The sequence below is a fragment of the Homo sapiens genome, chromosome 10, assembly GCF_000001405.40.
Source record: "Homo sapiens chromosome 10, GRCh38.p14 Primary Assembly".
NCBI lineage: Eukaryota > Metazoa > Chordata > Mammalia > Primates > Hominidae > Homo > Homo sapiens.
Window position 1 is genome coordinate 8,205,285 of NC_000010.11, and position 12,983 is coordinate 8,218,267.

The 12,983-nt window shown below is 40.4% G+C and overlaps 1 long non-coding RNA gene across 2 annotated transcripts in view; it reads left to right on the forward strand.

The window, feature by feature from the left end:
- The window catches only part of LOC107984205 (uncharacterized), a 36,994-nt gene extending 24,510 nt beyond the window's left edge, over nt 1-12,484 (forward strand). The window contains exons 2-3 of one of the 2 annotated variants that reach the window (XR_001747359.2): nt 9,822-9,903; nt 11,926-12,484. This is a non-coding gene — a long non-coding RNA (uncharacterized LOC107984205). Of the gene's footprint in view, nt 1-9,821; nt 10,832-11,925 lie in introns of those variants that run through there. The other variant, XR_001747360.1, reaches the window with a different exon arrangement.
- The last annotated feature ends 499 nt before the right edge of the window (nt 12,485-12,983 follow it).

Consider the following 12,983-nt stretch of genomic DNA (forward strand, 5'->3'; position numbering starts at 1 on the left):
GAACTGATGAAACATAAAGTTAAGAAGAAATTAGAGTGGGAGGGACACGGTGGCTCACACCAGCAATCCCAGCACTTTGGGAGGCCGAGGTGGGTCAACTTGAGACTGGGAGTTCAAGAGCGGCCTGGCCAACATGGTGAAACACTGTCTCTACTGAAAATACAAAAAATTAGCTGGGTGTGGTGTCACATGTCTGTAATCCCAGCTACTCAGGAGACTGAGGCATGAGAATCGCTTGAACCCAGGAGGCAGAGGTTGCAGTGAGCCGAGATTGTGCCACCCGCACTACAGCCTGGGCGACAGAGTGGGATCCTGTCTCAAAAAAAAAAAAAAAAAAAAAAAAAGAAGAAGAAATCAGAACAGATGGTGATTCTGAAAACAAACATACAAGCAAAAAATAATAAAAAAGAAAAAATAAAGAATAAAAAAAGGCTTAAGAAAACAGTCTTGTCTCTTTTCTCAAGAGCCATATCTTTTCCATGAATGAAGATTAATTATGATAGGATAGAGATTTGCTATCTATTTTGTTGCTATTCCTGCTACTTTTTATTCATGTTGAAGTGTGGAGGTTGCATCACCCTATGTTGACTTCCATTTTTTGGGGCTCATTTCTTTTTTTGAGTACTTTTGCTGTTTTCGAGGTTGTGTTTTCTTTATGGTGACCTGTGCTAATGGCTCTCTTATGTGTTTTGAAACTGGTAAGGCAGTAGCTTTAAAGACATCAAAGGCCAGGTGCAGTGGCTCACACTTTTAATTCCAACAGTTTAGGAAGCTGAGCTTGGAGGATCGCTTGAGCCATTACACTGGAGTTCAAGAACAGCCTGGGTAACATAGCAAGACCCCATCTCCACTTGAAAAAAGAAAAAAGAAGAGGCATCAAACTATTTGGAATGATACTGAAAAATTTAATTAGAATGTATATTTCAGTAGTTCTCAAGCTTCTTGATGTTAGTATCCTTTTACCCTCTTAGAAATTACTAAGGACCACAGTTGCTTTTGTTTATGTGTGTTATATCTATGCTTTTACTCCATTAGAATTTTAAAGAGAATGCTTTAAAAATGCTTATTTTAAAATTTATTTAAATGTCACTCTAATAAATTAAAACATATGAAGTAACATAACTAATATATTTTTATGAGAAATAATTGTGTTTTCCAAAGTAAAACAAAATTAGTGAGAAGAGTGACCTTGTTTTCCATTTTATACATCTCTTTACTGTCTGGATTCAGTGGAAACAGCTGGATTTTCATGTCTGCATTCTGTTGGTGGTGGCCTCACATGTCTATGTAGCTGGAAAACAGAGGCCCTTTCATCCCCCTGAGCCTATTTTGGGGACCCATAGGGCTTATTCGACCACACTTTGGGAACTGCTGGCACATTTAACAGTAGAATTACAACTATGAATTCTCTGTAGAGAAAACATTCAAAACTTGGGGTACTGGTCCATAGGAAAATAGAATTTTATATGATTTTCCTGGACACTCCTGAGGGGTTTTATTTTACTTTACCTCGAATTGCATTCATTTCGCTTGGGTTAATTTTGATAATCACTTGTCCTCTGGCTGAAAGAGCAGAGTGATCTTTAGAATCTATTACTATCTGTACTTACCATTGTGTTAATGGTCACCCTGCAATCACCATAAATGTTTGTTAGTCTGTCATTTAAAAAAATGACACAACTATGGTCCCCCTAGGGTTTTCCTCTCCTCTAAGACACCTTTGCCCTGATGGAATATTCCAGATCTGTGCTACTCTCACCTAGATGTAGTGATAGATAATGATGAGTGGGTTGATAAGCAGATGAATCTGGTTACATGATCAGCATAGTGAAATCCTGGAGATAACTATCTGGTTTTATGGACAGTTTTATGAAGATACTTTTCAGACTTCTGCTATTGCCCTGAAATGGCAGCAGTGAAAACATGCCAGTTGTACTTCATGTTAAAAATCTTAGGGCTCACCACAGACTTCACAGGTTGCAAACCTTATGGTGAGTTTGTCTTCCTTAATTTGCCTACTTCTAGGCTTCTGATGATGCAAAATCAGAGTATAGCCACGCACACAGTACTTACAGTGTTGAAAATTCTAAAAGAATTTGGAAGATCTAAAAGCATCAAAGAGAGAAAATAGAAGTATTGATCTGCATGTATCTCATTTTCTTTTTCTTTTTTTTTTTTTTTGAGATGGAGTTTCGCTTTGTCACCAGGCTGGAGTGCAGTGGCACCATCTCGGCTCACTGCAACCTCTGCCTCCCGGGTTCAAGCGATTCTCCTGCCTCAGCCTCTCGAGTAGCTGGGACTACAGGTGCGTACCACCACTCCTAGCTAATTTTTGTATTTTTAGTAGAGACGGGGTGTCACCCTGTTAGCCAGGATGGTCTCGATCTCTTGACCTCATGATCTGCCCATCTTGGCCTCCCAAAGTGCTGGGATTACAGGCATGAGCCACCGTGCCCAGCCTGTATCCCATTTTGTAAACCTAGTTTCCTTCATCCAATGGCATGATGGAATAAGTTCAATTTTGGATGGCTGACATAAATAGTGACAATCTCACTTTTGAATTTATAGAGTTTAATATTGAGTACTCAATATATATATTTGTTGAGCAAATAGAAACCTTAATTAAAAATTAGCTATAAATGATATTTCCTTATTCTTACAGAGTCGATGAAGGTGGAAAGAAAATAGGTCCATAACTTTTATAGTTCACCAGGGAGATGTTTGTATTTAACCTATCATTTTTAAATCAGAAGATATTATTTAGTGGCAGTTCTATAGAGAGCTATTTCTTTGTCTGAATATCTCATATTGGCAAGTTCTTTGGCTTTCATGTAACAAACATTACTTGGTGGACTTCTACTGAATATCTGTCATGTGCCATGCAAAGCTTTGGACCTAAGGATGTAAAAAGGAGGGTGAATCAGTCTTTCCAGAGGCTTATGGTCTAAAGGGAGAGACTGACCAGGAGAGAAGAGCTGGAAAGAGGCAGGCACAGGGCCTTCTGGGAAAATGGGAGAATATGCTTGTCTTTCCCTGGAAGGTCAAAGAAGGCTTTCTAGAGGAGGAAACATGGTAAGTGAGTCTTGGCTCAGAGAAGTTGAGCGGGTAGTATGCATATATCTGTCAGAGTAAGCCATAGGCTTAGAGTGGAGAAATATACAAGGACCCTCAAACAGAACTCATGTGATTGTAAGTGACAGAAACTCAACGCCACCTAGTTTAAGCCAAGAGGCAATGTAGTGGCTAACACATTGGCTGGGAAGTCTGGCTTTAGAAACAACTCCATTCAGAAACTCATATAAGGTCATCATCTTGCTCTTTCTTTCTTGGGTTTGTTTGTTACTTGGAGTTGCCCTCCTCCTCTTCTCCTTCAGAGAGACTTTTGGTTCAAATAGGGAAGAGAGCCACTATGGTTCCCTGTGCACATCCATCTGTCTCTTTACCCAATAGGCTTCAGTTCAAACAATCTCAGTGATAGCCCCCGACTGCCATTGGTTCATTCCTCTGGTGGGGGCTTGAGCATCTGATTAGTAGCTTGACACAGGTTCAACTGGAGTGGAGAAGGAGCAGTTCCCAAATAAATGGCTGGGCACATGTGGTGGTGGTGGCAGTATCCAGGTGGCTAAACACACAGAGAGAATAGTTGTCTACAAGAGTAGACAAATTTGACTCAATTGCTGTGAATTTGACAAAGATCTTTCTTAGCATTAGGATTGATTTTTTTTCAAAGCTCATTTAGGTATTTACCTAAGTAGTTTTATACTTTCCTGGATTTTTTTAAAAGGGGATTTTGTTTTATTTCAGAAAATACAGACTCCTCAAGGAGGGTAATAGCTAAGGGCTTTCTTTAGAACTTGCACATATCATAGCTTATCCTTTTTCTATCGTAAACATTTTTATGTAGCTAAGGTTTGGTCAAGCAAATATCAAGGGGGTAATGAAATCCTAGCAGGGCAGAATCTGTGGATGGAGGAGAGAGTAGCCCGGTCTTGGCACCTTGGTTGTGATGGGAAGATTACTGTGGACCATTGACAATCACCGACTCTCTTGTTTCATGCAGAGGCTAGAACAAGGACTTTACCCAAGTGGTAGGGACATTTAGAGAAAAGTAGAGAAAAAGAGAGATCAGGAGCAGGCTGGGCTGGATCCAACTAAAAGAGGAGCTTGACAATCACTGGAAATGTGATAAGATGGAGAGAACTTTATTTTATAGAATTTACCTCGGGGAAAATACTCTATTGGTTAGAAGCTGCTTGAGGCAAGGGCCAGGCTTAAGTGGTAGCTAAACCACCTTCAAAGGCACAGGTCTGGTTAACCCTACAACTTTGCATTTGCTGAGTGGGTATGTGAGTTTGGCAGCAGAGGATTCCACAGCTCAGCTTCTTACCTGAATAAATACTGAAGAAATGTTTACAGGATATTGGTTTGTGGCATCTGATCATTAAATTTTCTGGAGCCACTCAACATGGCTTATGCAAACAGCATGCAGTTCTCGTCCAGGGCCACTTTCTGTTTGGGTGCTACGTGTAAAACAGTTAGTACCAGGGTAATGGTGATGGAGTGCTGGCTTACAGGGCATTCATTCCCATGGTAAATTCTGGAAAAAATATTAGGTCCACCATATCAGGCATTTTCATGAAACGTTCCTGACAGTGTTCTTTAACTCATGACTTTAGAAAACAACAGAAGTAATTACTTGCGAAGAGTAAAAACAACACAGTGCAGTAACTGTTAATTTAGAGACAGAAACACAACTAATTACCTGGGACTCCTGCAAGCATAGTCTTGTTTAACTGCTGATCTTTTTTCTCTAGGTAGCAAGTCTCATAGAAGGCTGGTCAGAATTGCAGTCTTTCTGCTTTTCTAAAGTCCTTTCAGACTGGTGTCGTTTTCTTCTTGGATGCCATGGCTCCTTGTTCGCCATTGTCATATCTTTTCTTATTCACCATGAATGAAGATAAATTATGATAGGATAAAGATTTGCTATCCTTTCTATTGCTATTCCTACTACTTTTTATTCATGCTGAGATGTGGAGGTTGCATTACCCTATGTTGACTTCCATTTTCTTGGGCTCATTTCTTGTTCTGAGTTTTTATACTGTTTTCAGGGCTGTGTTTTCGTTTTGGTGACCTGTGCTAATGGCTCTCTTAGGTGTCCTGAAACTGCAAAAGCAGTGGCTTCTCTTTACTATTATTACTTTTTAGACAGAGTCTTACTCTGTCACCCAGACTGGAGTGCAATGGTGAAATCATAGCTCACTGCAGCCTTGCATTCCTGGACTTAAGTGATCCTCCCACCTTGGCCTCCCAAAATGCTGGGAATACAGAGGTGAGCCACCACACCCGGTCAGCAGTGGGTTTGCAAACATTTTTGACCATGGCTTACAGAAAGACATTCATGTTACATGGTGCCCAGTACACACAGACATACATAATTGACATGGAATGTTCTTGGAGTGATACCATCCTTACTGCACATGATGGACTCCACTCTATTCTATTATTCTATTCAATTCTATTTCTTTTAAAAAATTTTCCTTTTACAATTCACGTGATTCAAGAGCCATGGTTTGAAAAACACTGCTCTAAGACTTGTCCCCCTTGCAAGGTTTTCAAAAAAGTAGAAATCTCTCAAATCACATTCCTGGTCTTCTAAGGACATGCCTCATAGAGCCCCAGGATCAATGGCCAGAGTGGCTATGTCATTTCCTCCTGGTAGGCTCACAATATTTGTGGTACCTCAGTGATTCAACTGACACCATTCTAATCACCAGACTGGAAGGGACTATTTATATATTCCTTGGGGGCAAATGCTTAAAAATTTGTTAGAGAGGCTGCTTGAAAGACAGTATTCCAAGAAAACCAGGACTCAACAGGTTATTTTCCTTTAGTCTCTTCCCTTACAAATTGTTTTCCTGGCCATTAAACTCATAGATGCCCTTTTAGAATCCAGTGCTATTTGTTCAATACTATTCTGATAATCATCAAATGAGCCCATTATTATTCAAATTTAGTTATACCAATTGTTCATAAAACCATCATTAAATCAATAAAAATCTGATTTCAAGTGCTTAGTCCCCAAATAGCTCTCAGGCTTATTTGCCTCTCCCCAGATATATAAATCTGATGGGTGCTTGGGAGTTTGTATACTTTTCTTGGTCCACTTTTTCATACTTGTCAGAGGTCAGTGTTATTAGATGTTTGAGGTTCACTGTGTCTAAGGTGATTGAATAACCTTTGCAGATCTTTCTGTGGCAGGACTGCTATTGCCCACCCAAGAGCATCCTCCTCTTCCTTACCAGCTTGGGCAACATGGTGACACCTCACCTCTACAAAAATAAAACTACAAAAATTAGCCACGTGTGGTGGCACATGCCTGCAGTCCTATCTACTAGGGAGGCTGAGGTGGGAGGATCGCTTGAGCTCAGGAATTCAAGCCTGCAGTGAGCTATGATCATACCACTGCACTCCAGCCTGGGGGACAGAGGCCAGCCCAGCAAAAAACACTTGTTTATTCAACCTCCCTTCCCTCAGGACAGGTCATGTGACATAGTTCTGACTAATGAATGCCCCGATAGCGGTATTTCCTGTTTCAGCAAAGCAAAAGCCCTCCCAGAAACCCTTAGCTCATTTCTGAGGGTTTCTGGGAGGGATTTTGCTTTCCTGAAACAGCAAATACCCCTATCTGGCTATTCAGCAGCCATCTTGTAACTACAAGGTAACAAGTGTGACAATGAGGATGTACTAGCTAAATGTCATTGAGCAGATATGTAGAAAGAGCCCAGGATGGGCGTGATGGCTCACTCCTGTGATCCCAGCACTTTAGGAGGCTAAGGTGGGAAAACTGCTTGAGCCCAGGAGTTTGAGACTAGCCTGAGCAACAGAGCAAGACCCCATCTCTACAAAAAATAAAAAAAAATTATCTGAACGTGGTGGTGTGCTCCTGTGGTCCCAGGTACTTGAAAGGCTGAGGTGGGAGGATCGCTTGAGTGCAGGAGATTGAGGGTGCCGTGAGCCATAACTGTGCCACTGCACTTCAGCCTGGGCAACAGAGCAAGACTCCATTACAAAGCAAAAAAAGAGCCTGGATCCCTGATGGCAGCCCAGAGCAGCAACATCAGCTATGGATGGCCCACTTGCAGATCTCTGATTATGTGAAGAAAATATTAAGCCTCTAACTACTAGTTCGTGTTCTTGTTCTTGTTCTTGTCCCTGTTCTTGTTCTTGTTCTTCTTGTTGTTGTTCTTCTTCTTCCTCTTCCTCTTCTTCCTCTTCCTCTTCCTCTTCTTCTTCCTTTCCTTGACAGAGTCTCGCTCTGTTGCCCAGGCTGGAGTACAGTGGTGCAATCTCTGCTCATTGCAGCCTCTGCCTCCCTGGTTCAGCCTTCTGAGTAGCTGGGACTACAGGTACACACCACCACACCCAGCTAATTTTTGTATTTTTAGTAGGGACAGGGTTTCACCATGTTGGCCAGGCTGGTCTCGAACCCCTGACCTCAAATGATCTACCCGCTTTGGCCTCCAAAAGTGCTGGGATTACAAGTGTGAGCCACTGTGCCCAGCCATTAATACCAGATTTTATTTGTGACCTGTAATCAAATAAATGACATAACTGATTCATTCCATTTTTAAAATTTCTGCATCTGTCTTACTCTTTGATGAAAATTTGATAACTACAGATTACTATGATGAGCACTTCAAGTGTCACTAATTAGACCCAAAGCTATTTTAGAGTAATTGCTAACAAAAGTGCGTTGATGTTCTTCCATATGGCATCCAAGTGTGAGAAGCTCTTTCCCCAAACTATCTCAACAGGATTAAAATGCTTTGAGAATGACTGTTCTTTCATTTTTTCACGTGGTCCAAGGTTTAAATACTCCTAGCCACATAGAGCATAGGGCTGAACCCTGATCTAGAAATGGTGTTTTCAAACTTTAATTGTTCATTTTAGATTGGCTCATCACCTTCAAGTTTAGATAGTTGTTGGAATGTTATGGTTCTAAGAAGGTAAGCCTCTCTAGAGTTGAGGTTTTCTTGATTTGGAGGCTCTTTCTGATCTTATTTAGGACACTGTAAAGGAAAGTATTGTGACAACAGCTTTTTTTTTCTTTCTTTTTATTTTTTTTTGAGACAGGGCCTTACTCTGTTGCCCAGGCTAGAGTGTAATGGTGTGATCATAGCTCACTGCAGGCTTGAATTTCTGGGCTTAAGGGATCCTCCCACCTCAGCTTCCCTAGTAGTTGGGAATACAGGCATGCACCACCACACCTGGCTGATTATTTTTATTTTTGTAGAGATGGGGTCTTGCTATGTTGCCAGGCTAGTCTCGAACTCCTGGACTCATGTGATCCTCCTGCCTTGGCTTCCCAAAGTGCTGGGATTAAGGGCATGAGCCACCATGCCTGTCCCAACAACGCTCTTCTTAGAGCATTTAAGAGGCCATTTCTGCTTGGGAGGAAGAGAAAGATTGCATGAGAGTGAAGGCAAGTCTCCTTAATCAAACCTTTGTTTCTTTCTTTTGCCCTTTGGGATCTCTCAGCCAAGACAGAATGCTTCAGAGTAATGTGTCTATTTTCTGATCCTCAGATGTGTTTGTTGTTTTAGATAGATAGAGATAAGACAAGCTAGACAGTCAATAACAGTTCTGTCTGATAGAAATATAATGTGAGTCATGTATGTAATTTCAACTTTCTAGTAGATTAAAAAGTGAAACAAAACAGGTGAGATTAATTCTAGTAGTGTACTTTAGCACGAGATAACCAACATCTCATTTAAACTGTAATCTGGCGGTGGCTCATGCCTGTAATCCCAGCACTTTTGGATGCTGAAGTGGGTGGATCATTTGAGGTTAGGAGTTTGAGGCCAGCCTGGCCAACATAGCGAAAACCTATCTCCACTAAAAATACAAAAATTAGACAGGCAGTAGTGGTACACGCCTGTAATCCCAGCTACTTGGAAAACTGAGGCAGGAGGATCATTTGATCCTGGAAGGCGGAGGTTGTGGTGAGCTAAGATTGTGCCACTGCACTCCAGTCTGGGTGAGAGAGTGAGACCCTGTCTCAAAAACAAACAAACAAACAAACAAAAACATGTAATCAATACAAAATTTATTAGAGAGATATTTGCATTCTTTGTTTTCTTTGAATATGAAATCTTGTGTATATTTTTTACTTACAGCACATCAACTTTGGATTAACCAAATTTTTTTATTTTTATTTTTAGATGGAGTCTCACTCTGTCGCCCAGGCTGGAATGCAGTGGCGCAATCTTGGCCCACTGCAACCTCCACCTCCCAGGTTCAAGTGATTCTCCTGTGTCAGCCTTCTGAGTAGCTGGGATTACAGGAGCACACCACCACACCCTGCTAATTTTTGTATTTTTAGTAGAGACCGGGTTTTGCCATGTTGGCCAGGCTGGTCATGAACTCCTAACCTCAAATGATCCGCCCGCCTGGGCCTCCCATAGTGCTGGGATTACAGGAATGAGTCAACAAGCCCAGCCGGATTAACCACATTTTGAATGCTCCACCTAGCCACATGTGGCAAGTGGCTGCCATATTGGACAGTGCTTAACTTTCCCTCTACCTCTTTGCATGGCAGTCACTATTCCACTGCAGCCTGGCTATTTTTGCTCTCCTCACCCATTACAACCTTGTAGCTGTCCTCCAAAGAACAGTGCCCTTAGTAACTGTCTCTTCTGTTTTGATCTAGACCTGGCTCCAGTGGCAGGAGATATATCAACACAATATCAAGATGTTCTGAAGGTCTCTTTAGATGACATTTTACTGCATTGACTCCATTCTTTTGTTTTTATCTGTATCAGAGAAATTACAACGGAAACGAGAAATGTTATGAACCAGATGCCGAAAAAGTCCCAGTGGCAAGAATCAGAAGAGGGCACAAAGGTACTCAGAGATCCCCGCTACAAGTATAAGAGAAAATAAAGGCAACAAGAATGGCACAAAAAACACGTGTAAAACTGATGAACGTGGCTTTTTCAAGAAGGATTTGCACATAATCATTAGGCTATGCGACTAATGCCATAGCCTAGGCTGAATGTGCTTGGGAGTTCCTGAGTTATGAAAACAATTATTATATCTTAGAAGTTCTTCTTAGTGTGCTCCTGTGACTGATTGGCATATAGAACACAGAGGTTTCTTTCCTGTTCATGTAACGCTATCTTTATTTTTCTTGCAGTACAATTAAGATGTTGCCGTAATAGACATAATGTCTTCCTCAAATTAATGAGATGCTTCCTTTATGCCCTTGATTAGGCAAGAATCTTTCTTTGGCAAATCATATTTTTTTATGCTGATAAAATAGAAAGCTTCTTTATGATGCCTTTTAAAAATAAATGAAATTATTTTTGAGCATATGACAAGTTTATCATATTTACTCTTGAAGAGTAAATATTTGAAAGTCCCATGAAAGAGATGTTTGAAAGTCAGATAATATCCACTGCACATTAAAATCTACATAGATGAGGCAGAAAAAACTCCACTTAACAATTTTAAAACATTTTCCTCCAGTTTGCACCACACAAAAACCTTTAAGAAACTCCTGGCACTTTACACATGGGTTATAGCTTATATTGCAGTAGGCTTGAGATTAAACTCAGGGCATATATGGGACAAATGTATTTTTCAGAAGGAACTCTAGTTATGCTGAATCCTCATTAATTTCCAACCAATTTCTAGTGTTGACTACATGAGGAAGATTTCTATCAGTGAGAGTCAGAGAAAGTCCCTCCATTGGGAGAGCATGCACAGGCAGCCTTGTAGAAATAAATGAACAGAGTACTTAATGAAGAAAGACTTCAATTTTAACTCCAGCTCGGGCCCTTTCTTTATTTTTTCTGGCTTGCTTTCTTTTTCTTTCTTTCTTTCTTTCTTTCTTTCTTTCTTTCTTTCTTTCTTTCTTTCTTTTTCTTTCTTTCTTTTTCTTTCTTTCTTTCTTTCTGTCTTTTTTCTCTCTCTCCTTTCTTTCTCTTTCTTTCTTTCTTTCTTTCTTTCTTTCTTTCTTTCTTTCTTTCTTTCTTTCTCTTTCTTTCTTTCTTTTTTCTTTCTTTCTTTCTTTCTTTTCTTTCTTTCCTGCTTTCTTTCTTTTCTTTCGAGATGATGTTTTGCTCTTGTTGCTCAAGCTGGAGTGCAGTGGCGTGATCTTGGTTCATGGCAGCCTCCACCTCCCAGGTGCAAGCAATTCTCCTGCCTCAGTCTCCCAAATAGCTGGGATTACAGACATCTGCCACCACATCCGGCTAATTTTTTTTGTATTGTTAGTAGAGACGGAGTTTTACTGTGTTGACCAAGCTGGTCTTGATTTCCTGACCTCAGGTGATCCACTGCCTCAACCTCCCAAAGTACTGGGATTACAGGCATGAGCCTCTGCACCCGGCCCAGCTTGGGTTTTTTCTAGTTATGTGACTTTAGACATGTCCCTTAGCCTCCTTCACCCAAAATGGATAGAATAATAATATCCTGTCTGTCTCAAGGGTGGACTGTGAACCTTTTGGGGACTGGGATCCCCTTTGCTTTGCAGGTCTGGTGCCTCCCACTAGTACTTGAATAGCAGTGACTGGGTCGATCTTTATTGAATAATGTATCAAACAAAATGTTTGATGTAACATTACTTGTAAGCCTCATGATGTTATACTAGTGTAAAATTTTTTAAATATTCTGTTTCTTGCTAAGGTTATACTTCTATGCTGCAAGTTTAAAACTTCAAATAGAGATTTCTTGCTTCTAAGAACTAACTTTCAAGGGAGAAGCATAGAGAAAAATAACATGGTTTTGAAGTTGAGGTTATTTTGTCACCTAAGCCTTTGATAGTGATGGTGTGGAGAGTGATCTGGGGTGAAGAATATAGTTTGTGGTCACATTTCAAAAAGTGGGGCAAAAGTATTTTCTTTCTTTCTTTTTTTTTTATAGGTGTGCTTTTATTTAAAAACTACATGAGAAACAGACTTATTGGAAGAAATGCCTTTTTTTTATTACATCCTCTTAACAACCAAGCTAGTAATCTAGCTCAAGTTGGCAATATGGCCCGCTAAAAGTCCTTGGGGGACATGCACTAATGGGCAGATGAGAGTGACTTGTTGACACCTTCATTGTTTTCATCCTACACTGGACATCAGTCGTTTGGCCCATTTTTCAGAGACCCACTTGAACTGTCTGAACCTATGAACTTCCCGAAAGTCTGGCCACCAAACTGCATTAGGAGAGTCATGGCTGCACAACCGAAGGGCATTCATTTTATTCCCTGCCTTGGTGCAAGGGTCTCCCCAAACCAAGATGGACACATGTACTTCCTTTCAAGAGGCCACAAACAAGAACATTTCATTCCATTCTGAGATAATGATCCTAATTGGTTAAAATCACTTCAGAATTTGCTTGTCTTCTTATTAGTACAGAGACCAGAGTGGAGCTTTATTAAGAAAAATGTGATTTTGATACCCCATTCTCCATGATGTGCTTATTTCACATTGCATGCCTATATCAAAACATTGCATGTACCCCATAAATGTATACACCTACTATGTACCCACAAAAATGAAAAATAAAAAATAGAGAATAAGCTACAAAAATTTTTAAAAAGAAAAATGTTTTTATTTATTTTTATTTATTTATTTTATTTTTTATTTTACTTTAAGTTCTAGGATACATGTGCAGAATGTGCAGATTTGTTACATAGGTATGCATGTGCCATGGTGGTTTGCTGCACCTATCAACCTATCATCTAGGTTTTAAGCCCCGCATGCATTAAGTATTTGTCCTAATGCTCTCCCTCCCCTTGCCTCCCACCCCACTACAGGCCCTGATGTGTGATGTTCCACTCCCTGTGTCCATGTTTTCTCATTGTTCAGCTCCCACTTATGTGGTATTTGGTTTTCTGTTCCTGTGTTAGTTTGCTGAGAATGATGGCTTCCAGCTTCATCCATGTCCCTGCAAAGGACATGAACTCATTATTTTTATAGTTGCATAGTATT